Source organism: Homo sapiens, chromosome X, assembly GCF_000001405.40.
Source record: "Homo sapiens chromosome X, GRCh38.p14 Primary Assembly".
In the NCBI taxonomy this organism is placed as follows: domain Eukaryota; kingdom Metazoa; phylum Chordata; class Mammalia; order Primates; family Hominidae; genus Homo; species Homo sapiens.
In genome coordinates this window covers 38,024,024-38,050,392 of record NC_000023.11, presented here as the reverse complement: position 1 = coordinate 38,050,392, position 26,369 = coordinate 38,024,024, and the positions used below count along the sequence as shown (strand labels likewise).

The following is a 26,369-nucleotide window of genomic DNA, read 5'->3' as shown; positions in this document are numbered from 1 at the left end:
TGAATGTTTTTTTCCATCCCATCATCAAAAATGTTCCATGTATTAAAAAGACTTTTTGCTTTATCATCACATAGACACATTTCTTTCAAATCAGGAATTGCTTTCATTAAAATTCTTGTCACATTTGTGTGGCATTATTTTTCTTGTGTTATCTTGTCTGGACCAAATTGTACTGAACACCATTTTACACCAAATAAGATAGGAATTTTAGAATGGAAGCAATTAGCTGCCTTGAAGAGGAAGCCATGAATAAACAGTTTATAAAGTATCTTTAATTCCTTGATGCTTTTAAACAATCTCATCTAGTAGAGCACATCAAGGCCTAAGGGAGATAATGAGCAAGCAAGGATTACACAGTGGCCCAGAGCACAGGGTTCTAAAGTCAGAGTGCCTGGGTTCAAGTTCTGGCTATGCCACTTATTTCCTCTGAGACCTTAAGACAATTATTTAACGTCTCTCTGTCTCAAGACTTAAGGAGACTTAACCTCTTTGTGTCTCAAAATACTTCTGTAAAAACAGCATTACAGTGTTGTTATGAGCATTAAGTAAGACAATGTTTGTAAGTGTTTAGCACAGCTTGACACATAATAATTATGGAATAGACAATTCTGGTATGTGTTTCCCAATATCTGTTCTCCCTTTCTTCTTTATTAGTGGAACATCTAGCTATACTCATGGCCACTCAGAATAAAAACTAGATTTCTCAGTATTTCTTGCAGTTAGGTTTTGTCATGATACTAAATGCTGGCCAATGGAGTGTAATCAGAAACGATATACCTTTAGGTCATGCCTTTAATGGAAGAGGGAGAATCCTCTTCCCTTGACCTCTTCTCTTTTTCCTGAAGCTGGGATGAGAACATAGGAATGAACCATCCTGGATCAAGAGCTAAACTCTCAACATGGTGGAGCAACAAAAGATAGGGAGTCCAGACCCCTGCTTTAATGCAGCCCCCATAACAATACCACAAAAGCCACCAGTCAACCCAGACTTTTACGTTAGACAGGAATATGTTCCCATTTTAAGTCATGATTATAATGTGTCTCTGTCACCCGCAGCCAAACCTATTTCCCAAAAAAATACAATAAGAACTCAGGAAATATTAGTTTTTATTCTTTCTTCCACTTGCAGAGATGTTGCTGTCAGGTTTTGCTTCAGCCTCTGATGTAATGCCTGCAAGCTAAGTACTTCTCTAGAACTAGTGTTTCATATTCCATTAAGAGAGCAAGGCCACAGTGACTGACAAAGTCTATTGTCAACAATGACACAAAAATCACTAAAATAATATATGCGGGCAGAATAATGTCACAGCAGCCTGATTCTGATGCCTGCACAGCTCCTTGCACTCCCATCTTTTGTAAGATTCAGAGACAATGCCATCAACACTGTGGTATTTCATATTTGCCTGAGGAAAATTCAAGGCTGACCAGACCTTCTTTCTGTACTCTGAATATAAAAAAAATTATGCTTTCATTTGTGCTGTAGCTTCCACATGCAGTGCCTATCATTAAAACCTAAATTTCACAACACTTAGCCACATAATAACAGGCACTTTACTTTACATGTTGATATGGTTTGGCTGCATCCCCACCCAAATCTCATCTTGAATTGTAGCTCCCATAATTCCCAGGTGTTGTGGGAGAGACCTGGTGGGAGATAATCATTTGGTGGGTCTTTCCTGTGCCATTCTCATGATAGTGAGATCTTATGAGATCTGATGGTTTTATAAAGGGGAATTTCCCTGCACAATTTCTCTTCTGTTCTCTGCTACCATGTGACATGTGCCTTTCACCTTCCGCCATGACTGTGAGGCCTCCCCATCCAAGAGGAACTGTGAGTCCACTAAACCTCTTTTTTTTTTTTTTTTGTAAATTGCCCAGTCTCGGGTATGTCTTTATCAGCAGCATGAAAACAGACTAATAAAGTAAAGTGGTGCCAGTAGAATAGGACACTGCTGAAAAGATACCCAAAAATGTGGAAGCAACTTTGAAACTGGGGAACAGGCAGAGGTCGGAAGAGTTTGGAGGGCTCAGAAGAAGACAGGAAAATGTGGGAAAGTTTGGAACTCCCTAGAGACCTGTTGAATGGCCTTGACCAAAATGATAATGATATGAACAATGAAATCCAAGCTGAGGTGGCCTCGGATGGAGATGAGGAACTTGTTGGGAACTGGAGCAAAGGTGACTCTTGTTATTTTTTTTTTGTTTTTGAGATGGAGTTGCACTCTGTCGCCCAGGCTGGAGTGCAGTGGCGTGATCTCAGCTCACTGCAAGCTCCACCTCCCGGGTTCATGCCATTCTCCTGCCTCAGCCTCCCAAGTAGCTGGGACTACAGGTGCCCACCACCACGCCTGGCTAATTTTTTGTATTTTTAGTAGAGAGGGGGTTTCACCATGTTAGCCAGGATGGTCTCGATCTCCTGACCTTGTGATCTGCAAGCCTCAGCCTCCCAAAATGCTGGGATTACAGGCATGAGCCACCGTGCCTGGCCTCTTGTTATGTTTTAGCAAAGAGACTGGTGGCATTTTTCCCCTGCCCTAGAGATGTGTGGAATTTTGAACTTGAGAGAGATGATTTACAGTATCTGGGGGAAGAAATTTCTAAGCAGCAAAGCATTCAAGAGGTGACTTGGGTGCTGTTAAAAGCATTCAGTTTTAAAAGGGAAACAAAGCATAAAAGCCTGACGATGCGATAGAAAAGAAAATCCCATTTTCTGAGGAGAAATTCATGCCGGCTGCATAAATTTGCATAAGTAATGAGGAGCCAAATGTAATCACCAAGGCAATGCAGGAAATGTCTCCAAGGCATGTCAGAGACCTTTGCGGCAACCCCTCTTATCACAGGCCTGGAACAAAAAAAGGTTTCATGGGCAGGGCCCAGGGTCTCCATGCTGTGTGCAGCCTAGGGACTTGGTGCCCTGCATCTCAGCTGCTCCAGCTGTGGCTGAAAGGGGGCAATGTAGAGCTCAGACCACGGCTTCAGAGGGTGCAAGCCCCAAGCCTTTGCAGCTTCTATGTGGTATTGAACCTGCAAGTGCACAGAAGTCAAGAATTGGGGTTTGGGAACCTTTGCATAGATTTCAGAGGATGTACTGAAATGCCTGGATGCCTAGGCAAAAGTTTGCTGGAGGGGCAGGGCCCTCATGGAGAACCTCAACTAGGGCAGTATGGAAGGGAAATGTGGGGATGGAGCCCCACACAGAGTCCCTACTGGGGCACCACCTAGTGAAGCTGTGAGAAGAGGGCCACTGTCCTCCAGACCGCAGAACAGTAGATCTACTGACAGCTTACACTGTGTGCCTAGGAAAGCCACAGACACTCAACATCAGCCCGTGAAAGCAGCCAGGAGGGAGGCTGTACCCTGCAAAACTACAAGGGTGGAGCTGCCCAAGACCATGGGAACCCACCTCTTGCATCAGCGTGCGTGACCTGGATGTGAGACATGGAGTGAAAGGAGATCATTTTGGAGCTTTAAGATTTGACTGCCCCCCTGGATTTCAGACTTGCATGGGGCTTATAACCCCTTCATTTTGGCCAATCTCTCCCATTTGGAATGGCTGTATTTACCTAATGCCTGTACCCCATTGTATCTAGGAAGTAACTAACTTGCTTTTGATTTTACAGGCTCATAGATGGGAGGGACTTGCCTTGTCTCAGATGAGACTTTGGACTGCAGACTTTTGAGTTAATGCTGAAATGAGTTAAGACTTTGGGAGACTGTTGGGAAGGCATGATTGGTTTTGAAATGTGAGGACATGAGATTTGGGAAGGGCAAGAGGCAGAATGATATGGTTTGGCTCTGTCCCCACCCAAGTTTCATCTTGAATTGTAGTTCCCATAATTCCCATGTGTTGTGGGAGGGACCTGGTGGGAAATAATTGAATCATTTGGGTGGGTCTTTCCCATGCTATTCTCATGATAGTGAATAAGTCTCATGAGATCTGATGCTTTTATAAAGGGAATTTTCCCTGCACAAGTTCTCTTCTCCTGTCTGCCACCATGTGAGACGTGCCTCTCACCTTCTGCCTTGATTGTGAGGCCTCCCCAGCCATGTGGAACTGTGAGTCCATTAAACCTTTTTCTTTTGTAAATTGCCCAGTCTTGGGTATGTCTTTATCAGCAGCATGAAAACGAACTAATACACATGTCATACCATTGCTTTGACAACAACCCATGAAAAATACATTATGATTCCCATTTTATAGACAGGAAAGTGGAATCTCCGAGAGGTAACTTGTGGGTCACAGGGCTATTAAATAAGGAGGTCAGGATTCAGACCCTGAATTTTACATTCCAAAATCTGCACTCTTCCCACACACCAGTATCCTCCCACTGGCTCTCAATATATTAAAATATTTTTGCTCAGAAAGGACTCCGTATTTATTCATGACTGTTGTTTCTTTCCTAGCTGTGCAAAGCCATGCTGAGCACACTCAAAGTTAAGCCTCAGTAAACATGGAGGGTTTCTTCCGCCCGCCCAGCTTCTTTCAACATATGGCATCTGCCCAAACTGGATCTTATCACAAAGTCTCTCATGACAAATATTCCCCAAGAGAGTCATTCTTCAACAAGCATGACTCTATCTTAATACATTTTGTATAACTTTTGATTAGTTTTCAAATCAAAGGCTATTAAAAAGAATCACAACTCTCTGAGAACTGGGAAAAAGTTATGCCTGGATAAAAAGCTGCTTAAGAGAAAGTAACAAGAAGAAGGAGTAAAAGAACACTTGTTTAGATAAAGAAGTCTTGTGACTTGTGCCAATTTCATGTTTACAAATAGTCTCAAGGAAAGAGGGCATTGTGAAGTCTTCATATCTGCAGAAGAAACTTCCTGATATTAAAAAGCTTGGCTCATAGGAATATACCGGAAAATCTCACAAAACCATGTCAACTGACAGGCAATTGACAAAAAACAAAACAAAACAAAACAAAAAACCCAAATCCAAAAAATACTGAAAACAACGGAGCAATAATGCTGAAAAGTAACAGTTTTAGGGAAAATAATTAAAACCACAGAAATACGAGGAAGAACTTAACCAATCCCTTATAACCTAAGAGAATCAATGACTTATTACAGATTTTCCAGAAACATTAAATGTGCTCATATATGCAAAGGGACAATGACTCAAGCATTCATTCTGAATTCTTTTTAAAAAGGACAATGGAGACAAAACAGCAAACATTATCTGTCTCTGTAAAGTCATGATGATGGTGACCTCTGCCAAATTTTGCCTGACTTCTCACCCTTGCTTAGATTCTTCTCCTTTCCTGTGTTGCTTTCCCTACTAGTAGTTTATGGTTTCTCTTTAATAAATCACTTGCACACAAATCATGAGTTCAAGGTCTACCTCTGGGGGAATCCAACCTAAGACAGGGATCTTATAAATAATATGACAAAAACAGCTCGTTACAACTCTAAAGGAGTTAGGAATCACTGCAATTTGATACCTTGCTGTTTATTCACTATAGTCTTATCATAGCAGAAATTTATCTCATACGTAATTAGCAAACCAAGTCTCCCACATGGAACTATCTTAAAATAACTATTGTCTCAATTTCCTGGCCCATTAAGAAACAAGAATGTGTTTTGCTAATCTGAAACCCAAAGAATACCTTGCTCGAGTATTAAAAACATCAGAAAGTCTTGTTATCAATATGATAAATTACTCAGAAAAAAACAGAGATGGAGATAGAATCAGTACAGCAAGAAGTAGGAAAGCTGCATTTCTTTAAAAAACAACCAAGATAAAATGCTGGGCTTCTTAAAATATTTGGTATCACAATGCAATGATAGAATTGACTTGATGGAAGAAAATTGGGCATTCATACAAAAAAACTGATACTTTAGAGAGAACATGTTGCTCATGAAAAATTCTTTAAAACCAATTCTGCTGCTGAATATGGACACATACTAGAGGGTTTCCATTTTAGTTTTTATAAATGTATAACTGAAGTTTATTTCTAGAATGACTCTAAATTGAATTTGTGCAAACTAAATTATTTTAAATGTGGTGGGGAAGGGGTTATATGTTCAGCAAAGGCAGTTATCAGTACTTACTTTTTCCCATTTTACCTTTTTAGGTGATACTTATGGGGATTCACATTTTCACAGATAAAGGTTATTGCAAAACACATTTCGAGCAGTTTCCCTAGTTGTCAGTATCAGTACATGATACAAGAAATGTTGTCACCATTTCTTTGAAATTTGTTGAATATGAATATAAATGTTTCCTTTATGTGTTGTTCTTTCCTTAAATGCTTCACTGAAAACCATCACTGGCAGTTAATTACAAACTTTCAGATTCTACGAAAGGAAGGTGAGATTTGTGATAAACAATAAACAATCTGATTCACAAGATGCATGGTCTTAATTGAATCAATTTTCTCAGATTGCCGGTTTTTAAAATTAAGGAAATATTATTCAAAATATGAATCACAATATAAGAGGATTTAAGAATGAGAATGTTCATGGAAATAAGAATAAATAGTTAAGAAACACGTTGCACATTCATGTTATATGGAAAAATCTTATGTTATGAAATCTTATCCAGCCAATAAAAATGTTTACAAATAATTTTTAATGACATGAAAAATGTTCATGAAATAATGCAAAGCAAAAATAAAGAATAAAATTTACATATATAGTATGTATATGTAAATTTCATGCAATTTCCAGCTATATGAAAATATGTATATATATATGTATATATATATATATATATATATATATATACATACATACATACATAAAAGTTACAGGAGGGAAATTCAACACAAATGGAGACTATTTACCTCTGGGAAGTGGAATTCTATGTGAGACTTTAATGTTCATATTATATGGTTATCTAATTTTCTATAATAAGCCCATTGATTCTATTAATGAAAATATGTACCAGACAATATTAAATGTTTAAGCAGATTGAGGTTTATGATATTTTATACAGTATGTATATGTAAATTTCATGCAATTTCCAACTATATGAAAATTGCATATATATATGTGTATATATATACACATAAAAGTGACAGGAAGGAAATTCAACACAAATGGAGACTATTCACCTCTGGAAAGTGGAATTCTATGTGAGACTTTAATGTTCATATTATATGGTTATGTAATTTTCTGTAATAAGCCCATTGATTCTATAATGAAAATATGTATCAGAAGATATTAAATGTTTAAGTGGATTGAGGTTTATGGTATTTTAAAAGTTGCAGACATTGATGCCCTTTATAGATCCTAGCACAATACTGAGATTAAAAACTTTAAAAAATTGCTTGCTGTGTAAGAATTTTATTAATTTCTTTGCATTAAATATTTTCATTATGCTTAATTACTCTGCAATAAAAGAACAATTATAAAAATTATGAAATGCATGTTAGCCTAATCTTATTATAAATTTAAATTGGTTAAACCATAACTTCTATTAACATAGGAACATTCTTATAAGATTACTGTTGATATAAAATGGTCACTTGCCTGAAATCTAAAATATTAGTGGTGACATTTTTATTAGTGAAGTTTTCACTTATATCATTTTCTTAGGAATAAAATACCTATTTCTCCAAGGATATAGTTGATATTAGATATTCCCTTATGAGCTGACTTACCTTTGAGGGGATGGGTCTTCTTTACTCCCCCTTCCAGCCCCAACATTCAGCCAGGTTCTGGATTACATGGGCTTTATTGTTCTGTTTCTGCAATTTGCATTGAAAGGGAATGGTAGTTTCTTGGGATGTGAGTGCCAACTAACCCCTGCTGCCTAGAGACATGACCTCTATACCAATTCTGGCTAGAGACAATACACAAGGAAGGGAAAGGGTAGTAAAATGGGAATATGGGGAAGAGTAAAAAATATACAGAGGATCCTTGAACAACATGGGTTTGAACTGCCCAGGTTCATCTATATGTGGATTTTTAAAAAATAAACAAAGTTGGATCTCCATAACCTTGAGTTCTGCATTTGCAACCAAATGAAGATTGAAAACACAGTATTTGTGGAATATGAAACCCACATTTACAGTGGGCCAACTCTCCCTATACACAAGTTCCACAAGGCCAACTTTAGCCTTGAGTATGTGTGGCTTTTGGTATACACCCGGGCCCTGAAACCAATCCCCAGCCTATACTGAGTCTCTCTTTATATAGACTCTCTCCACTTATATATGTAGAGAGAAAACCTATCTCTATATATATTTCTATATATAGTCTAGGTATTTGAAATAATATATATCTTATATGAATATAATATAAACACGTTAATAATTTGAAATAATATAGATCTCTATATAGAGACATATGTAGATACAGATAATAGATATAGTCTCAGGTAACAATCTTACTTATGACTATGGTGATCTATTATTTCAAACCCCCAAGAAAATGGTCTGAAATAGCTAGAAGAGAATAATTAGAATGTTTCTAGCATAAGGAAAAGATAAATACTTAAGGTGATGGATATCACAACTACACTGATTTGATCTTTACAAATTATATAAATGTATGAAATTATAACATGTACCCTGAAAATATGTACATCTACTATGTGTCAATAAAATAAAATGTAAAAAAATATTAAAAATGATCTGGCAAGTTTATTTATTTGGACAATCCAATGTTTAACATGTCTCTGAATATCAGGTATTTGTGGCCCTGTGCCTATGGTGCACCTTACAAGTAACGCTTCCTCGGAGAAAAATGCTCTAGAATCAAAATTAAAGTTAGTTTCCCTAAATGTAATTATATATTGAAATTGGTAAGGTCTTTGCTAGGAAAACGTCCAAGGTTTAAGGCAGATCTGAATATTTTTGTTCATTTTTCTGTGACTCATTAAGCATTTGAGTTCCATTAGGGAGCCAGTATGTTCATGCTGGGAGTTTCTGTTAATCCGTTAAGAAGCTTTGTGGCAATTCTATTAGGATTAAACCAAAGTGTTTACCAAACTAGAAGTCCAGTCCAACAGTTCTCCTGGTGTTTTATGGGGACAATGAGTCTTTAGGCTTTTGAGAAGGTCAAACTAATTTTGCTCTTAGTGGTAGAGTGATAAGATTTGGAAAAACAAACAAATGATCAAACATTTATAGTGTATTAAAAGGGTATTATTGCTTGGCGCTTAGACTCCCTGACTTCCAGGCTGAATGTATAATTCTTGAAATCACTTCAAATCCATTTGAACCAAATATTGAACTTATCTGCAGGATTCCAAATAAGCAATTTGAATGCACGCTCCCCTCCTGTTTCTCCTTCCTTCTCTTCTCCTAGCACTGAAATGACAAAATCAGTCACATTAAGAGAAAACCATAAGGTGAATGGGAGTTACTAGGCTGGGGTCTGTGGTCTCTTGGAGATATTAAGTTCTGGCTTATTTAGTGGCGCATTTCAACTGAGCCAGCTTTACACAAGAAACCAAAATACATTTGCTGGCGAGGATGCAGAGGAAAAGGAACTTTCATACACTGTTGGTGAAAATGTAAATTAGTACAACCACTATAGAGAACAGTTTGGCAGTTCCTCAAGAAACTACAAATTGATCTACCATATGATCCAGCAATCCCACTCCTAGGTATATACCCAAAAAAAGGAAGCCAGTATATTGAAGAGATATCTGCACTCCTATGCTTGTTGCAGCACTGTTCACAATAGCCAAGATTTGGAAGCAGCCATCAACAGATGAATGGATAAACAAAACGTGGTACATATACACAATGGTGTACTATTCAGCCATAAAAAAGAGTGTAATCCAGTCATTTGCAACAACATGGATGGTCTGGAGATCACTATGTTAAGTGAAATAAGCCTGGTACAGAAAGACAAACTTCGCATGTTCTCACTTATTTGTGGGATTTAAAAATCAAATCAATTGAACTCCTGGACATAGATAGTAGAAGGATGGTTGCCAGAGGCTGGAAAGGGTAGTGTGGGGCTCGGGTCGGGGGGGGGATGGTTAATGAGTTAAAAAAATAGAAAGTATGAATAAGACCTACTATTTGATAGCACAGTGTGGTGACTATAGTCAATAATAACTTAATAATATATTTTAAAGTAAAGAATTTATTTGGATTATTTGTAACTCAAGGGATAAACACTTGAGGAGATGGATACCCCATTCTCCATGATGTGTTTGTTTCACATGGCATGCCTGTATCAAAACATCTCATGTATCCCATAAATATATACACCTACTATGTACCCACAAATATTTAAAACTTTTTTTTTTTTTTGAGATGGAGTCTCGCTCTGTCGCCCAGGTTGGAGTGCAGTGGTGCGACCTCGGCTCACTGCAACCTCCACCTCCCAGGTTCAAGCGATTCTCCTGCCTCAGCCTCCCAGTAGCTGGGACTACAGGCGCATGCCACCACGCCCGGGTAATTTTTTGTATTTTTAGTAGGGATGGGGTTTTACCGTGTTAGCCAGGATGGTCTCGATCTCCTGACCTCATGATCTGCCCGCCTTGGTCTCCCAAAGTGCTGGGATTACAGGCGTGAGCCACCACGCCTGGCCTAAAACATTTTTTAAAAAATAAAAAAAATTTTTTTTGAGAAAAAATTTGTTTAAAAAATTCACTGCTAGAGCTGAATAAAACTTTGATTTGGATAGAAAGAAAGGAGAAATGTTATGTTGTAAGGCAACCAATAGAGTTTACCACTGAGGCAAGCCCAAGATTAGGTGCCAAAGAAAACATGTGCAGATATGTTTTCATGTATGGTGGTCAAATGGAAATGATGTACCCTTAGTGAGAATAAAGCTCACAATATACTGCTGAAATGAATATTCACTAATAAGTTGAGGATTTTTAAGTACAAGTCAATACCACAAAGTAGATATTTAACAGTATTTGTTTTTAGGTGTGAGAGATCAAGTAGAGTAAAAATTTGTTAATGAGATTTTTTTGGAGTAGATATTATGACCCACGTACATGTTAGTCTGAGTTCTTTTGAAGTAAATGAAAAGCAATCTAAGGTACAAAATCAAAATAATCAACAATGATTTCCATTTTGTGCTTCGAAACTGTCAGTATTTTTATCCATTTGCAATAATTGTTGATAGCTCAATTTTATTTGCAACATTTCTGCTTTTTCTTCATTGCAGTAAAGCCGTCAATAAATTTGAGTGACTTGCTCTCCATAGAGAACCTTAAAAATATTCTTACCCTCTAACAGTGAAAACCTGTGTCTCGCTATCTCCTACCACTCCTTCCTGCTTAGTCTGAAGGAGAAGAATGTATACAAATATATTTCAGCCTCTTGAATGAACTTAAAATGCAATGGTAGTAGACAGATGCCTATTCCCCAGCTGATGATTTATGCCTGGAGGTAATTATCAGGCTTGCCATGTGCCTTCTGGGTATGGAGCACCTTTACGAGTCCCCAAAGACCAGTCCCACCTTAATCAATGCCACACTTTAGTGGGTATGTGGACTGTGAAGCACATTTGGGTGTCAGGCCTAAAATATTGATTCAGTACAATTTTTACGCTTTCTCCGTCTTCTACATTTTTATCTCAAAGGACAAGCTATTCAAACAAATAAACACACAAACGAACAATAAATCCACTGCCTCCCAAACTCCACTTTACTAACTTTTCAGATAAGTTTATTCTTTGTAATCTTTTTCAGTCTAAAAAAAATTTTGGTTTCCATTTCCTTCTGAAACTGATTAGTACAGTCTGAAGGTGGCTTTGTGGCTCATGGTAAACAGCCAAAACATAGTTGACCTATATTTGCCAATGTGAAAAGTCCTTTTCACATTTCAAAGGCAAGCACAAACGTTCACCTTTTCTGTGAAACCATTGCTTCAGTTTCTATCTTACTTGTAATTAATTACTTCTTCCTTTAGACTCCCCCCAAAATATCCATTTGTACCTCTATAGCATGATGAAAACTATTGTAATAGCTAGCACCAAAGTTTACTGTTGTAATAAAATCTGTTACCCATCTAAATTTCTTGTATTGATGGTTTTGGAGGATATCAAGGAAAAAGGACTAAGTTCTCTGGCCTGGCAAAGAAAAGAGTAAGGAATAGCCATAAGTGGTGAGATGCAAGGAGAGAGGAGAGTTCAACAGAAGCGGGGGTACAGAGTCAGGATGAGCTATACAATTCACAAAAGTGTGGGAACGGGGGCTATAGCCAGCTTTATATAAATTCCTGAGACAGTTAATTATTTGTATCAACTTAACTGGACCACTGGGAGCCCAGATATTTTGTTAAACATTATTTCTGGATGTTTCTGTGAGGGTGTTTCTGTATGAGATTAATATTTGAATTAGTAGACTGAGTAAAGTAGGTTGCCCTCCCCAATATGGATGTACCTCGTCTAACCCGCTGAAGGTCTGAATAGAGTAAAAAGCTGAGTAAGAATGAATTTTCTCTCCCTGTCTTCAGGCTGGGACATCAGTTTTCCCTTGCTACTGACTGCCAGACATGGATTGGAACTTATTGCATCAGCTCTCCCGGTTCTCAGCCTTTGGACTCAGATTCAAATTATACCATCATCTCTCCTAGGTCTGAACTTCTCAGCCTCCATAATCATATGAGCCAATTCTTTATAATAAATATTTTTATCTATCTATCTATCTATCTATCTATCTATCTATCTATCTATCTATCAGAAAAATGTTTGCAGAATTTAATTGCCATGCAGACCCACTGCGCTAAAGTTAAGGTACCCTGAACTGATTTAGGTTGTACTTAAATTCATAATAAAATGGCTATTCAGAGGAGATAAAGGGAGAAAAGCCAACAGAAAGTTATATTATCTGACCAAGATGCTTAATCTTGGGCTTCTTTCTTTAGCTTGGACTTTTTTCTTTACCAGTATGTAAACCACAATGACTGTGATAAAAATTGTTGGGAAGATCATAGCTTGTAAATCAAATGAACCAAAATTCTTTATTTTAATGCTCACCTTGCAGACTTATTATATTTCCCCTGAAACGAACTTTACTAAATAGTAATAGCTTTGGTAATACAAACTTCATAGTGTCTCAGACTGGGTTTTCTAGAAGCGAATTCTGCTATGTAGATTTGTGTGCAAGCGACTTATGTAGTGCTCTCAAGAGAAATCTATAAGGGAGTAAGGGAGGCAGGAGAAGGCAGGGAGAGGGGCTAAGCAAGGGTGTGATTTTTAGGTGAAGTCCAGCCTCAGCATCATCCCACGGGAAGCTCTGGAGCTTAAGTTGCATTGCAGAGTCTGTTCTGCCTTGAGGCAATGGATTTCTGTACCCGTCAACCATTGGCTTTGGGCTACCCAGTTAACACTCAAGTTTACCTGGCACTTGTGTCTCTTTAATCCTATGGGAAACTCCAGTCACCCGAAGGTAATTTTGTACTTCAAGTCCTTAGAATAAAGTGCATGAAAACTAGGAGGTGAGAGGGACTCCAGGGGATCTGAGTAGAGCACTGATAGTGTCTACTGCAACTAGCAAATCAAGGGCACCACAAACCAACTATAGGGCTAATGATTATAACCAACAATTTTTGAGTGCTTACTGTATGCTGGCATTGCTCTAAGCTGTTTGTAATATTAGCTTATTTAATCCTTAGAACAATCTTATGATGTCACTGATATTATTTCTGTTGTCAAATGGGGAAACTAGATTTATCCATGGAAACATCTTGTCTAAAATGATACAGATATTTCATGCCGAAAGTAAGATTTGAACTCTGGCTGTGTGATTCAACAGCATACACCCTCAACATCATGCCACCCACTTTGGAATGACTTCTGAATACACCAAGCTGTTAAGAGTGGTGAAGCCTGAGTCATATTACAAGAACTCAGAACAAAATGAGACAACACATCTAATGCAGTTAATGCAGATGGAACAAGGAGACAAGACGTAGCTTTAGAAAATCTCTTTTCTGTAAAAGTATCTCTTGGATTTATAAACAGCCTTTCTTATGCTATTCTCAAAAAAGTTTGAAGAGCCAGGAAACCAATGACTTTATTCTTGATACTCTGTTGTATATTACACCCAATTTAACCGAATTTACTTATAGGGAATAAGGAAAGAAGACTAGGGAAGAAAAATGGAATGAGAAAAAGGAAGAAAGAGTATAATAATAATAATTGTTATTATTATTATTTTTTGAGATGGAGTCTGGCTCTGTCACCCAGGCTGGAGTGCAATGGCACGATCTTGGCTCACTGCAAGCTCCGCCTCCTGGGTTCAAGCGATTCTCCTGCCTCAGCCTCCCGAGTAGCTGGGATTACAGGCGCACACCACTGTGACCCGCTAATTTTTGTATTTTTAGTAGAGACGGGGTTTCGCCATGTTGGCCAGGCTGGTCTCAAACTCCTGACCTCAGGTGGTCCACCCTCCTCAGCCTCCCAAAGTGCTGGGATTACAGACGTGAGCCACTGCGCCCAGCCAACAATTATTAATACAAGTTATTGATAATGACAGAAACAAATATTCAGAACAAAGTCCTATTCATTGTACTTCATTGTCTCTGGGCATCTGGTTATTAAATTGTTTATTCCTATAGAAATAATTTTTTTTGAGACAGAGTCTCACTCTGTCACCAGGCTTGAGTGCAGTGGCGTGATCTTGGCTTACTGCAACCTCCACCTCTGGGGTTCAAGTGATTCTCCTGCCTCAGCCTCCCGAGTAGCTGGGACTACAGGCGTGCACCACCACGCCCTGCTAATTTTTGTATTTTTAGTAGAGACGGGGTTTCATCATGTTGGCTAGGATGGTCTCAATCTCCCCACCTCCTGATCCGCCCACCTCTGCCTCCCAAAGTGCTGGGATTACAGGCGTGAGCCACCACGCCCGGCCAGAAATGATTTTTTTTTTTTTTTTGAGACGGAGTCTGGCTCTGCCGCCCAGGCTGGAGTGCAGTGGCGCAATCTCGGCTCACTGCAAGCTCCGCCTCCCGGGTTCATGCCATTCTCCCGCCTCAGCCTCCTGAGTAGCTGGGACTACAGGCACCCGCCACCACGCCCGGCTAATTTTTTGTATTTTTAGTAGAGATGGGGTTTCACCGTGTTAGCCAGGACAGAAATGATTTTAAATTCCCCTTGGAATGTCATCAATTCCTAGTTAATATGTCACCCCCTATAAACAACATAATTTTTTTTGGCAGGGCATTACACAAATTAGTTTACTTTTCATGACTTGACTACTAATGTCAAAAATATTATTCATGATTTCTTTGAAATTATTAACTACATTTTGTTGCCACCTGAATTCTATGCATAGAAAAAGTGCAATAATTTTCATCGAAACTTTTGTTTCTTCAAGATTAGTTGAATATCTTGGAAAAGTGGAAATGAAGCTTCTGGGCTCTTAACTGTGAAATAAACATCAATCAAGAATACTTAAATTATTTCCATTTCTAAAGATCCTAGTGGCTTTGGGCACATTAAAGATTTTTTCAACATGTGAATATAATCACATGATAAGTTTTCTCCTCAGGTAAAATAAACATAAGCTTCTGATTGTAGCTTGGGGAGCCATACAAGACACAAAACCTACACATTGCATAGTTGGCAGTGACTGAGGAAGGAACACTATTTCTGCTCCTTTTTTTCTGGGGTAAGGTGTAATGACCAAATATATTTTAAAACAAAGACGGTACAGGCAGCAGCCAATCACAGTGGATTTTGCAAATGATCAGAACAATGATGTGACCAATTAGAGCAGGCGACGCAACCAATCAGAATTGATGCTGGCTGAAATATTAGGTGAAGTCATGCCGGGGAAACCAGCTAAATATGAGCTCTGCCTACAGTGGATATGAAATTCAACTGTGCCCACATCGTTCAACTTTCTTCACAAGAAACTTATTTTTAAAAATTCAAGTGGTTTCTGGGGTATGATGGGAAATTTTTACTCTCCAGGTCCCTTTCTTCTCGCAGCTGTGCTGGAGGCAAATCCCCAGTAAGACTGATCTGACAATGGCATTACAAATAAATAATAGCTAACATTTATTGAACACTTAGGTGACAGGCACTACATATGTATAAACTTCCTTAATCTTTACAACAACCCTATAAGGTGGATACTGTTATTATCTTTGTTTTACCGATGAGGAAACCAAGGCATAGGGAAGTTGAGTAGCTTGCTCAAAGTCACACGACTAATACTTGCCAGAGCTGGTACTCAAACTTAGGTAGTCCTTCCTCTTAACTAAAAATTATGACTTTATTAGCAAATTAAGTGTTCTCATCAATACCACTTTATTAGCTAAATTCCATTTTCATGTCTGGCTAAATGGTGAAATGCCAAAGTTTTCCGATATTTGGGCTACTGATGAGAACTCATGAAGTTCCTAACTGACATCTGTCCCCATTGTGGTTGCACTTGGCCCATTTCTGATCTAAATTGCTTCAAACAAACAGAAAGCAGTCAAGGAGGACTGAAAAAATAAAAAGAATACTACCTTATTCTCTTGTCCTCCACTTTTTTCAAATATTCATCTCTCTTTAGGACGCCCAGGATCATTTCCTTCTCATGATCTAATAAAAATGACAGATTGATGAACTCTGAGTTCTTAGACATGGTATTTCAGCAGCAGCTCTGAGTAGCAGTGGTTGAATCTTCAAGAAGGTGAATTGATATCTACAACTAAGATTCCCCCAACCAATTCAGAATCACTCAGTTGTTTGGTGTAAAGTGTGATTTTTACAAGGTCTCTGCAGAATTGCGTATGGTAGTTAAGTATTCTTTCAGGCTATACGTAGAACAGCCTCCACTGGGATTACACTCCAAGAAAGTCATTATTGTTTTAACTGAAAAATGTTTCCAAAGCCTTTGCTGTGGTATACAGTCAGGCAGCAGCTGAATTTAACTAACGATGCTCAACTTCAATTCTTCAGAACAGGAATCAGATCCGCTGGGAGAGAATGCAGAAAACACTAAGACGGTGGAGAAAAAAAAGAGGAGAGAAAAATTTAATTAGGCTATTTTTCCCATAGCACTTGTAAAACTGCCTAATTTTTGAAATTTTGTTGTATCTAACTCAAAAAACTATTTTTTAAAACAGTAAACATGCATTTATTAAATCTTTATTTAGTGTTTTTTTAACCAGGAAATGTTATTTGGATTTAGTTGATTCCTGGTTCTCTATGCAAATTCAGTTTTCTCCATTATAATTAGCTTCCTCCGCCAGCTGCATCACGTCGCCACTCTTGCAGCTGACTGATGGGTGAATTGGGTCACCACTTTGGGACACTAAGTGCACAATCTGGACTGCCCATAACAGATCAGGGCCTTTAAGTGGCTCCCTCCTTCTTTCTTCCTTCCTTTCCAAAACTAGGCCCACAGCATAAAAAGCCCTGCTGTTGAGACAAATACGAACCTCTGCTACATGCATCAACCTAAATAGATCTCACAAACACTGCTGAATAAAAAAAATTAAGTTACAGGCTGGGTGTGGTGGCTCACATCTGTAATCCCAACATTTTGGGAGGCCAGGGTGGGAGGATCTCTTGAGGCCAGGAGTTTCAGACTAGCCTGGGCAACATAGTGAGACCCATGTCTCTACAAAAAATTTAAAAATTAGCTGGGCATGGTGGCAGATACCTGTAGTCCCAGGTACTTGGAAGGCTAAGGCAGGAGGTAATCACTTGAGCCTAGGACTGTAGTGAGCTTTGAGATTTCACCACTGCCCTATAGCCTGGGCAAAAGAGTGAGACCCTGTCTCTTAAAAAAAAAATTACGTTACGGAAGAATTCATGAAAAATGATAGCATATACATATATACATATATATGTGAAGTATATAACTTGCAAATATATATATAATTTAGAAATGCCTACATTCATAGTATAAATATAGGCAAATTAGGAAATTCAAGATCATGATTACCTCTGGTGGACACAGGTATTCAATTACAGAAGAGAACACAGCGGCTTCAATGCATTGGGTAATGTTTTGCTCTCAAAATGAGTGTTTATATCTCATGATGTACATGGTTGTTTGTGAATTATTTTAGGTATGTATTGTATATTGTAAAATGGATGTTTTAAAACTACCCCTTTGTCAACATAAGAAGCTCACCAGGCCCTGACTCTCATCCTAACTCTTGAGCACATTCTTTCATTGGTTTGTTACCTGGATTCTCTCTCTAAAGCTGCTTAAGAATGATGACTTCTTGGGTAATCTACCTGATTTTTGTGATTGGGCATCATCCCATGATACTGTCCCTTAGCTTTCCCCAAGATCTATGAACTACAATTTACCTGCAAGTTACACTTGGTATGCTTGCCTCTAGGAAGGCTCCCAGGAATAACTACATACATACTTAAAGGCTGCTTTGGGGCCTCCCAGTAACCATGAGGTCAGGCTGACCCCAAAATCTCAGGAGATCTGAAAGGAGAGGATCTTGTCCAGAGCTTCCTCGACTTCCACAAACCCCTATGTGTTTGTTCTATACAGTGTACACCAAACCAGAACTTTGCTGAAATGACTCAGAAATGAACTGCTTCCTACAGACAAAGAGCCAGCCCCCTCTTAGGAAGCTGTTCAGGTTAGTGCATATTCTCTGGATTTACTCCAGGTCTTCCCTCCATCTTGAAAGCTCTAGAGGCAACAAGGCCCAGAGTGCTCCAAGTTTGAAAAGAACAGGAAACAATAAGGTTAGGATAAACAGGGCTTTTCAGAAAGGTTAATTGTTTTTTGCATCACTGTCAACTGCAGTCTCCGCAGAGAAAGAACACAGTTGTTTTTTTCAACCCCTTGTGTATCTCATCTGGTATTGTGATGAAATGGAAAAAAAATTGAAAACTCAGTGAATGACTATGTTATCATTACACCCAGGGTTCATTGAAGACATATTTTGTGTTTGAAATGTCAGACTTAGACTTTACTTTGTGAATGTTTTATAGAATCATATTCAGAAATTATTCAAGGGGTTGGTAGCTATAAAAATGCTTGACCTGAAGCTTATAGCTATCCCTGCCTTGGGCTATAAATACAAATCTTCTCTCTAAAAATCCAAGAGTCTGCCCTGTGAGGAGGATGAAGGGAGGGAAGTAACACCATGGGTAGCACATGAAGGTGACAGAGAAGACGAGAGATCAAGTGAGAATATAAGAGAAATAAAATTGCCCTGTGAGAGTTTAATTAAGAAAATTAGTCCTAAATGAATTTTTATTCATCTGTACCTGGACCAACAGACTAATATTATCGTAACTGGTGTGTAAATGGGTGGCTAAGGAGATCAGAAGTAGCCAAAACTCTATCAAGTTTTGATTAATCAGAAAAAGGAATTGTGAGGCTAGTCTTAAGCTGTAGTAAAATCTGTACTTTGTGTTATAAATTTGTCTTTCTGTGTTGTTCTATAATGGAGAAGGGTACCTTAAGATAGAACACAGGCTTAGGACTCCTGTAAGCCCGCTGTTCAAGCCAGCCCAGCAAACTGGTCAGTTACAAACTTTGCTGCAGGTCCCTAAAAAAAACAAAAACAAAAAACTGGATAAAGTTTCCCTCTCATCTTATTTTATTTCCTTGAGAGCTTGACCTTATAACTATGTGGCAGTACTTTCTCTTGGTCTCCACCTTCCGGAGAGCAGGAACTTTGGAATTCATGGTTAGCCCTAAAAATTACCTTGAGAAGTTAAAAGCCTTTGCAAGTTCAAAATTGGCTGCTCTAAGCTCCTTCTGGGAAGGGCAATGGAAACTGCCCAATGCTGTAGCTCAGCATCAAAGGCTTCACCATTTTACAACGGTGGCCCAGCTTCAATTCCAGGATTAGGGAATGAGTCTTTTCTAGTTTGATATCTGTGTGACTTTTGCCATTTGTAGATTCTCTTCCCCACCCATGATGAACAACTTCCGGCTTCCCTTCTGGAATTTTTCCTTTCTTTGAGCACCTGGGAGATTACCTTTGGTAAAGTTCAGAAGACAGGAATATTGGCCATTTGGCCTGGTTCGGTAATAAGAGATTTAAAAGGACTTTTTAAAAAGAGCGCTATGGTTAAAATTTAGCTTATTTAAAGCGGATATTCAAGCTCTAACAGCATGAGACTCCTTGGGAAAAACAGAGGAGGCACCACAGACTGGGTTCTGGGAAAAACTTGTTTTCCTCATGAAACTCCAGGAATTGGAAATGGATAGATTCCTTTAAAAATCTAAGGTTCTATTCTGTTTTGCATTGCATTATCCAACGTTTTTCACTTTTGGGGGGTCAGAAATTGCTTAGTATTATGAGAGAACTTTGTTGTGTAATAACTAGGTAGGAAATATACTTTTGGGGAAGGCTAATGGCAGTTATTGGGGGAATATGTGGCTTTTTGCATGTTTAGATCAGAGAAGTATGCTGTTGGCAACCTAGAAGGTTAAAAAAAAGTCCCCACCCACCGCTGAGAGATAAGACTCCTATGGAGATGGGCTGATTCCCTCTTTTTGGGATCCAGGATCTGGCATAAAAATGGGATCCTTAATTTTGTATATCTGTTTTGCCTTCCAGCTGTGCCTGCAAGTTAAGCCCTAGAAACTGCATGCCTTAAAGACAAACTTAGAAACTGGCAAATGAAAAGTCTTACAACTACTGAATCTTCTTCTGTATGTGTATTTATATGTGTTGTGTGTGTGTGTGAGATATTTTTAAAAACTTTAATTAGTTTAAAAATAAGAGCTTAAATCAAATATTTTGTCAGAAAAGTAAAAAGTGTAATGCCTTTTAGTACACGACTTAAGTAATCTTTGGAAAGTAAAAACAGTTTTAAAGATTATTGATAAAATAAAGACATTTGGTCTAAATTTTACAGGTCAGATATTAAGCTTTCTAAATGCTTTAAGGTCATAAACTGCTTGTTTGACTTTTGAAAATTGTTCAATTTACCTACTTTAGAGCATTAGATTCTAGATAAGACCTGGGGACATGTGATGTTAGCCATGCCCCCTAGCTATGCTGGAAAAAGTCAAATCTTATCTGTTGTCTTAGGTGCCACACCTGGTACATAATTAAAATCGCTTACTAACCAGGTTTTTCACCAAAAGTAAAAATTGCTAAAAGCTAACATTGTAATATGTTATTGAGACAACTGAAGAAACAGTTTTACATGCAAGGTGTGTAAAGAAACTGAAATGCGTTTTTGGTAAAATATTATAAGAAGTCATAGGAATGTGGACTTTTTTTTGCCTAAAAGTTTAAAGGATTGTTTGAAGTTAGATAGGATATGCTTGAAGGTTTGAGTGAGTTGGGAAAGTCTTGTGACAAACTAATCTTTTAAAAGAAATTCTGTGTGTGAACATATTGGCTAAAGTTAAAGGGGTATTATTCAGTTCTTCCATGAATTGAACATTGGAATATAAGCACAACAGGTTTTTCTTAGAGCACTAATCTACTTTTTAACATAAATTTGTAAAGAGTTATAAAAGGTATAAGAATCTTACCTTATGGTCAAATATTAAAATTGGTTAGATGTATCTATAAAGTTTTATTAAGGATAGGGTTTAACATTAGTAGTACACTAATATAAAAATGACGTTTGGCTTATTTGGTATAAAAATCATACAGGAAACATTGTCAACATTGCCACCGAGGTAATCAAATTGCTTTGTCAATCATATCTTTTGACTGTGACTGCCCTAAGACATTTTGTCATCCACCAACAGTTGTTGTCTTATTTTAATCCTATTTAAAAGGTGGTTTATAGTCAGCTAAAGGACTTTAACAGGTGTTCTTGAATGCAGGTTTCTGATAACATTGGGGATTATGACATTAGAATAAAGAAAAAAACTTTCAGGACTCTCATGAAAAGCTGAAATGTTAATAAATATCAAGCAGGACAGGAGTTAACTGCATGGATTGAGCTAATAGAAGACCAAAGTGATCTTTTTGACTTTTTGCTTAAAACGTTGCTGATCCTTTGTTTTGTTTTTCAGAGACAAGAAAACTCTTCTTTTGAGCTATTTATAGCTTTTAACAGTTGAGTAAAGTGTACTCTTGTGAACAAAATTTGAGGCATATTTGTTTCTCTCTACCTGACTTCTCCAGAATTGGAACCTATTTGTGAGTATTCTTAACTTATGGCAATATAGTTATTTGCATAAGCACAATAAGAATCTGTTTTCTTTTGCAACAGGACACAATTGGAGAAACTGATTATTTTACCAAGGCTTTGACTGGAATGATGCATTTTCCTTTAAGGAATCAAACTTGATTTGTAGAGCCAATAAAAGCCCCTTGGGAAAACTGACCTTATATCTTGTCTACACATTCCCTGTACAGGGTTTCTGACTTGTGGTAAGTAAAGAATATCACTTTCTAATAGGTCCAGGAGCTGAAGGTTATCTTGGGACCTCAAGAGGAGAAGAATTGGCTGGGCGCAGTGGCTCATGCCTGTAATCCCAACACTTTGGGAGGCTGAGGTGGGCAGATCACAAGGTCAGGAGTTTGAAACCAGCCTGGCGAACATAGTGAAACCCCCATCTCTACTAAAAATACAAAAAATTAGCAAGGCATGGGGGCAGGCACCTATAATTCCAGCTACTCAGGAAGCTGAGGCAGGAGAATCACTTGAACCTGGGAGGCAGAGGTTGCAGTGAGCCGAGATTTTGCCATTGCACTCCAGCTTGGGCAACAAGAGTGAAACTCCATCTCAAAAAAAAAAAAAAAAGAAGAAGAATTAATTCATAGGTATTTGAGGATATAAACCCATGGCTGGGCTTGGCTTTAAAAAAAAGGTCTTATTTGAGATTTCTTATGGGACAGAATTCCATCAAAGCCAATTTAAAAAGCCTATGTGAAAAATAATTATTCTTGCTGCACTTTATACAAATAATCAGCCTAAATATAAGACTAAGGATTATTTTGCAATCAAATTGGTCTTACCATGATTTGTCTTTAATACAAATGGAAAACTAGACAGAGAAAAATTGTGTTTCTAGAAGTATGGTACTTCTGTTATTAAATTCTAGTCTTATCAGTTGTTTTTTGTTGTTGTTGTCGTTTTTTTCCTGCAATTTAGACTGACCCTGCTTATTCCTGTTAACCAATTCGTGATGTCTGACTGCATCTCAAAAGAAACAAAAGGGCTGTGTAATGTAAAAATATGGTTCAATATTATAATTCTGGGCACATATTGGAATTGGCTAGTGACTCCATATCAGCTTGTTTCCAACAGTTGCCCAGTTCATGGAAAGCCTTCTAATTTAGTTTACTTGGGATAATTTTGCTTATTTTGCTTTACTGTTGTGGAATATATTGCAGTTGTACTCTTTGTGTAATAATGCAAAATAAGTTTACTGAAAATTTTCTTAAATTGAACACTTACTAATCTTCCAGATATCACCTTTTGTCAGAACTCAAGAGTTATGAATGGCCCTCACTGTAATGACACTTTCCAACTGAGCTCCTCTCTACTCTGAATACAAGAGACCCTAATAGTTAGGCAGGAATATCATCACCCCTGTTCAGCATGAAGAAGTTACAAAAGATGGATCTTCATTCCTCTGCAACCCTTAGGATTAAGGATTCTCTTGTAAAAGGGAAGGGGAAAATGTCAGAGGTGTTTGAACCAGAGCAATGCCATCTTAAATAGGAGCTGGGTAAAATGAGGCTGAAACCTACTGGGCTGCATTCCCAGAGGGTTAAGTATTCTAAGTCACAGGATGAGACAGGAGGTCAGCACAAGGTACAGGTCATAAAGACCTTGTTGATAAAACTGCAGTGAAGAAGCTGCAAAACCAAGATGGTGACAAGAGTGACCTCTGGTCATCCTCATTGCTACACTCCCACCAGTGCCATGACAGTTTACAGATGCCATGGCAACATTAGAAAGTTACCCTGTATGATCTAAAAAGGGGAGGCATGAATAATCCACCCCTTGTTTAGCATATAATCAAGAAATAAGCATAAAAATGGACAACCAACAGCCCTTGGGGCTGCTCGGCCTATGGAGTAGCCATTCTTTTATTCCTTTACTTTCTTAATAAACTTGTTTTCACTTTACTCTATGGACTCACCCCCAATTCCTTCTTGTGTGAGATCCAGGAACCCACTCTTGGGATCTGGATCGGGACCCCTTTCCAGTAACAGTTGGCTAAGGAGATCAGAAGTAGGCAAAACTCTATCAAGAAAATCAGGATGTTTTCTCCAGAAGGCAGCACTGAACTATGACTATAAATTTAGTAAGATAGAATGCAGTTGATGATAACGCAGTCCTTCCGGAGAAATACAGGGTGAAGAAAAGGAGACAGTGAACCAAGGCATAGACAAGGAAGATCTAAGGAGCTAGGTGATGTCAGTGCCCATCCAGACTCCAACTAGAGAAAGGGAATGAAAATGAAAATAGTTGTTTGTTCCCTGTAGCGCATGTTCCATGCTAGGTGATGGAGCCTCATTCTGAGAAATTTTCATGCCACGAATCACTCAAATCATACAGCTAATTACCCTTGCTCAATCTCACTTCCTTCCAGACACTTTTGATTATAAGTTGGCTTCCCATAGAGCTCTCCCTTCAGGAGTGAATGTTCTGGTCCTGTCTATGGAGTTCTCCATATTTGGTTTAGTTTGAACCCATGTCAGATCTGTTTGCTGTGTGCTAACCAAATCAAATTTTTCAGCCTTTGCACTGAAGACCAGCATCTGGACTGCAATGACTTCACCTGAGGATATATCATCACTGTGTGTCTCTTTTCAGCGATTTCATACCTCACCTGGAGAATCCCTTACCCATTACACATTTTAATCAAGTAGAGAAAAAAATGAGTAATTGATCCTCATTCTTTTAGTTAAATGGGGCTAGTAAACACTAGTCAGATTAGGAGGGTGAAATTCATTTTTCTTTTATTGTTCAATTCCTAACTTAAACAGATCTCTCTCTTTAAATATAGATGTAGATTTTTCCCTCTGTGGCCAGTAACTTTGTTGAACTATGCTAAGCTGTTTAGAAAGATGGCAAGATGCTTTGTATGTCATTCTATTGCCTTTCAGCATAGATAACTTTGGACAAGTCATTAACTTCTGATTATCAAAAAGATGTGGTAGTCAAATACTCTCATAGCATCACAAAGGGACATAAGTTTAAAAAGCATCTATTTTGAGTAACACACACCTAAAAATAATAGGGGCCGATATTTGAATCAAAGGAAAGGGTATATCTGAATATATCTCATTACTGTGTACTTGAAATGCAGCTTTAAATATAGAATGTTTCTGAGAGTGCTCTTAGGATGAAATTAATAGAAATAAAGTTAATTTCCTGTTTGACTGTCACCATGTGACAATACAAATTAGATGAATTTTCAGCACACTTACAGAGATGTTTAGGATGCTTAGAATACAAGCTAAATCACATACGCAAAATACCCTTGAGGATGCCTTTCAAATAGAGGAGCAGTCATCCTGCAAAGCAGCTGTGATTGGATTACCACAAGCACAGCAGTCCACAAGACTGTCAAAAGGTAAGAACTGTCATGCTGTGGATAGAGAAAAAAGTAGTACTTTTACAACGAACCCCAAACTGAATGACTCAAAGAGAGATGCTATGGAATTACAGGAATTTCTTTGCAACAGAGCTGTTTCTTCTCACACGGGCAATTCTGTGTGGTACATTATATGGGAGTGCCATAGTCAAGATTTTTTTTTTAATTTCACAATGATATGGATTCTTCAAATAACAGTAGAGAGGCTAACAGTGCCATCAACTTCATACCAATACTTCAAGAGCAGTATCCTCAGAATGCTCCAAATAATAACCACTAACACTTATTCAACTAATCCTTATGACTTCCTAATGAAACAAATTGCTATTATTCCTATTTTATAGATGAGAAAACTGAGGCACAGAGATGTTAAGTAACTTGCCCAAGGTCAACTGGTAAGTAATTCAGAATAGTTTGGTTTCAGGGACCCTGCTTGTAACCACTACATTTGAGGCCACACAGTGACTTCATGGAACAACAGTATCCCATGAGATGTTATTAGATATTATATGGAATTGTTAACAGTGCTGTATTAGTCCATTTTCATACTGCTATGAAGAAATACCTGAAACTGGGTAATTTATTTAAAAAAAAAGAGCTTTAATGGACTCACATTTCCATATGGCTGGGGTGGGGGTCCTCACAATCATGGTGGAAGGCAAAGGAGGAACAAAGGCACGTCTTACATGGTGGCAGGCAAAAGAGCGAGTGCAGGGTAACTGCCCTTTATTAAACCATCATATCTCGTGAGACTTATTCACTATCACCAGAACAGTATGGGAAAACCCGTCCCCATGATTCCATGATTCAATTACCTCCCACCAGGTCCCTCCCACAACACGTGGGGATTGTGGGAGCTACAATTCAAGAGATTAGGGTGGGGACACAGCCAAACCATATCAAGTGATGTAGTTCAACAAAAAATTTGGATATGTAGAGTTAAACCAAGTTAAATATTTTTTTTTCTACAGAACTTCTCAGAGTCTTTAATG

At 38.2% G+C, this 26,369-nt stretch overlaps 1 protein-coding gene across 28 annotated transcripts in view; it reads right to left on the bottom strand.

The window, feature by feature from the left end:
• Positions 1 to 26,369, bottom strand: part of SYTL5 (synaptotagmin like 5) — a 239,906-nt gene that overhangs the window by 78,428 nt on the left and 135,109 nt on the right. For 25 of the 28 annotated variants that reach the window (XM_017029972.1, XM_047442658.1, XM_011544001.3 and 22 more), the window contains one exon: positions 16,385 to 16,859. In XM_017029972.1, coding sequence (XP_016885461.1) covers positions 16,385 to 16,503 — 119 coding nt within the window. In that variant the 5' untranslated portion in view covers positions 16,504 to 16,859. Of the gene's footprint in view, positions 1 to 7,609; positions 8,172 to 16,384; positions 16,860 to 19,302; positions 19,394 to 26,369 lie in introns of those variants that run through there. The other 3 variants (XM_047442662.1, NM_001163335.2, XM_047442671.1) reach the window with 2 other exon arrangements.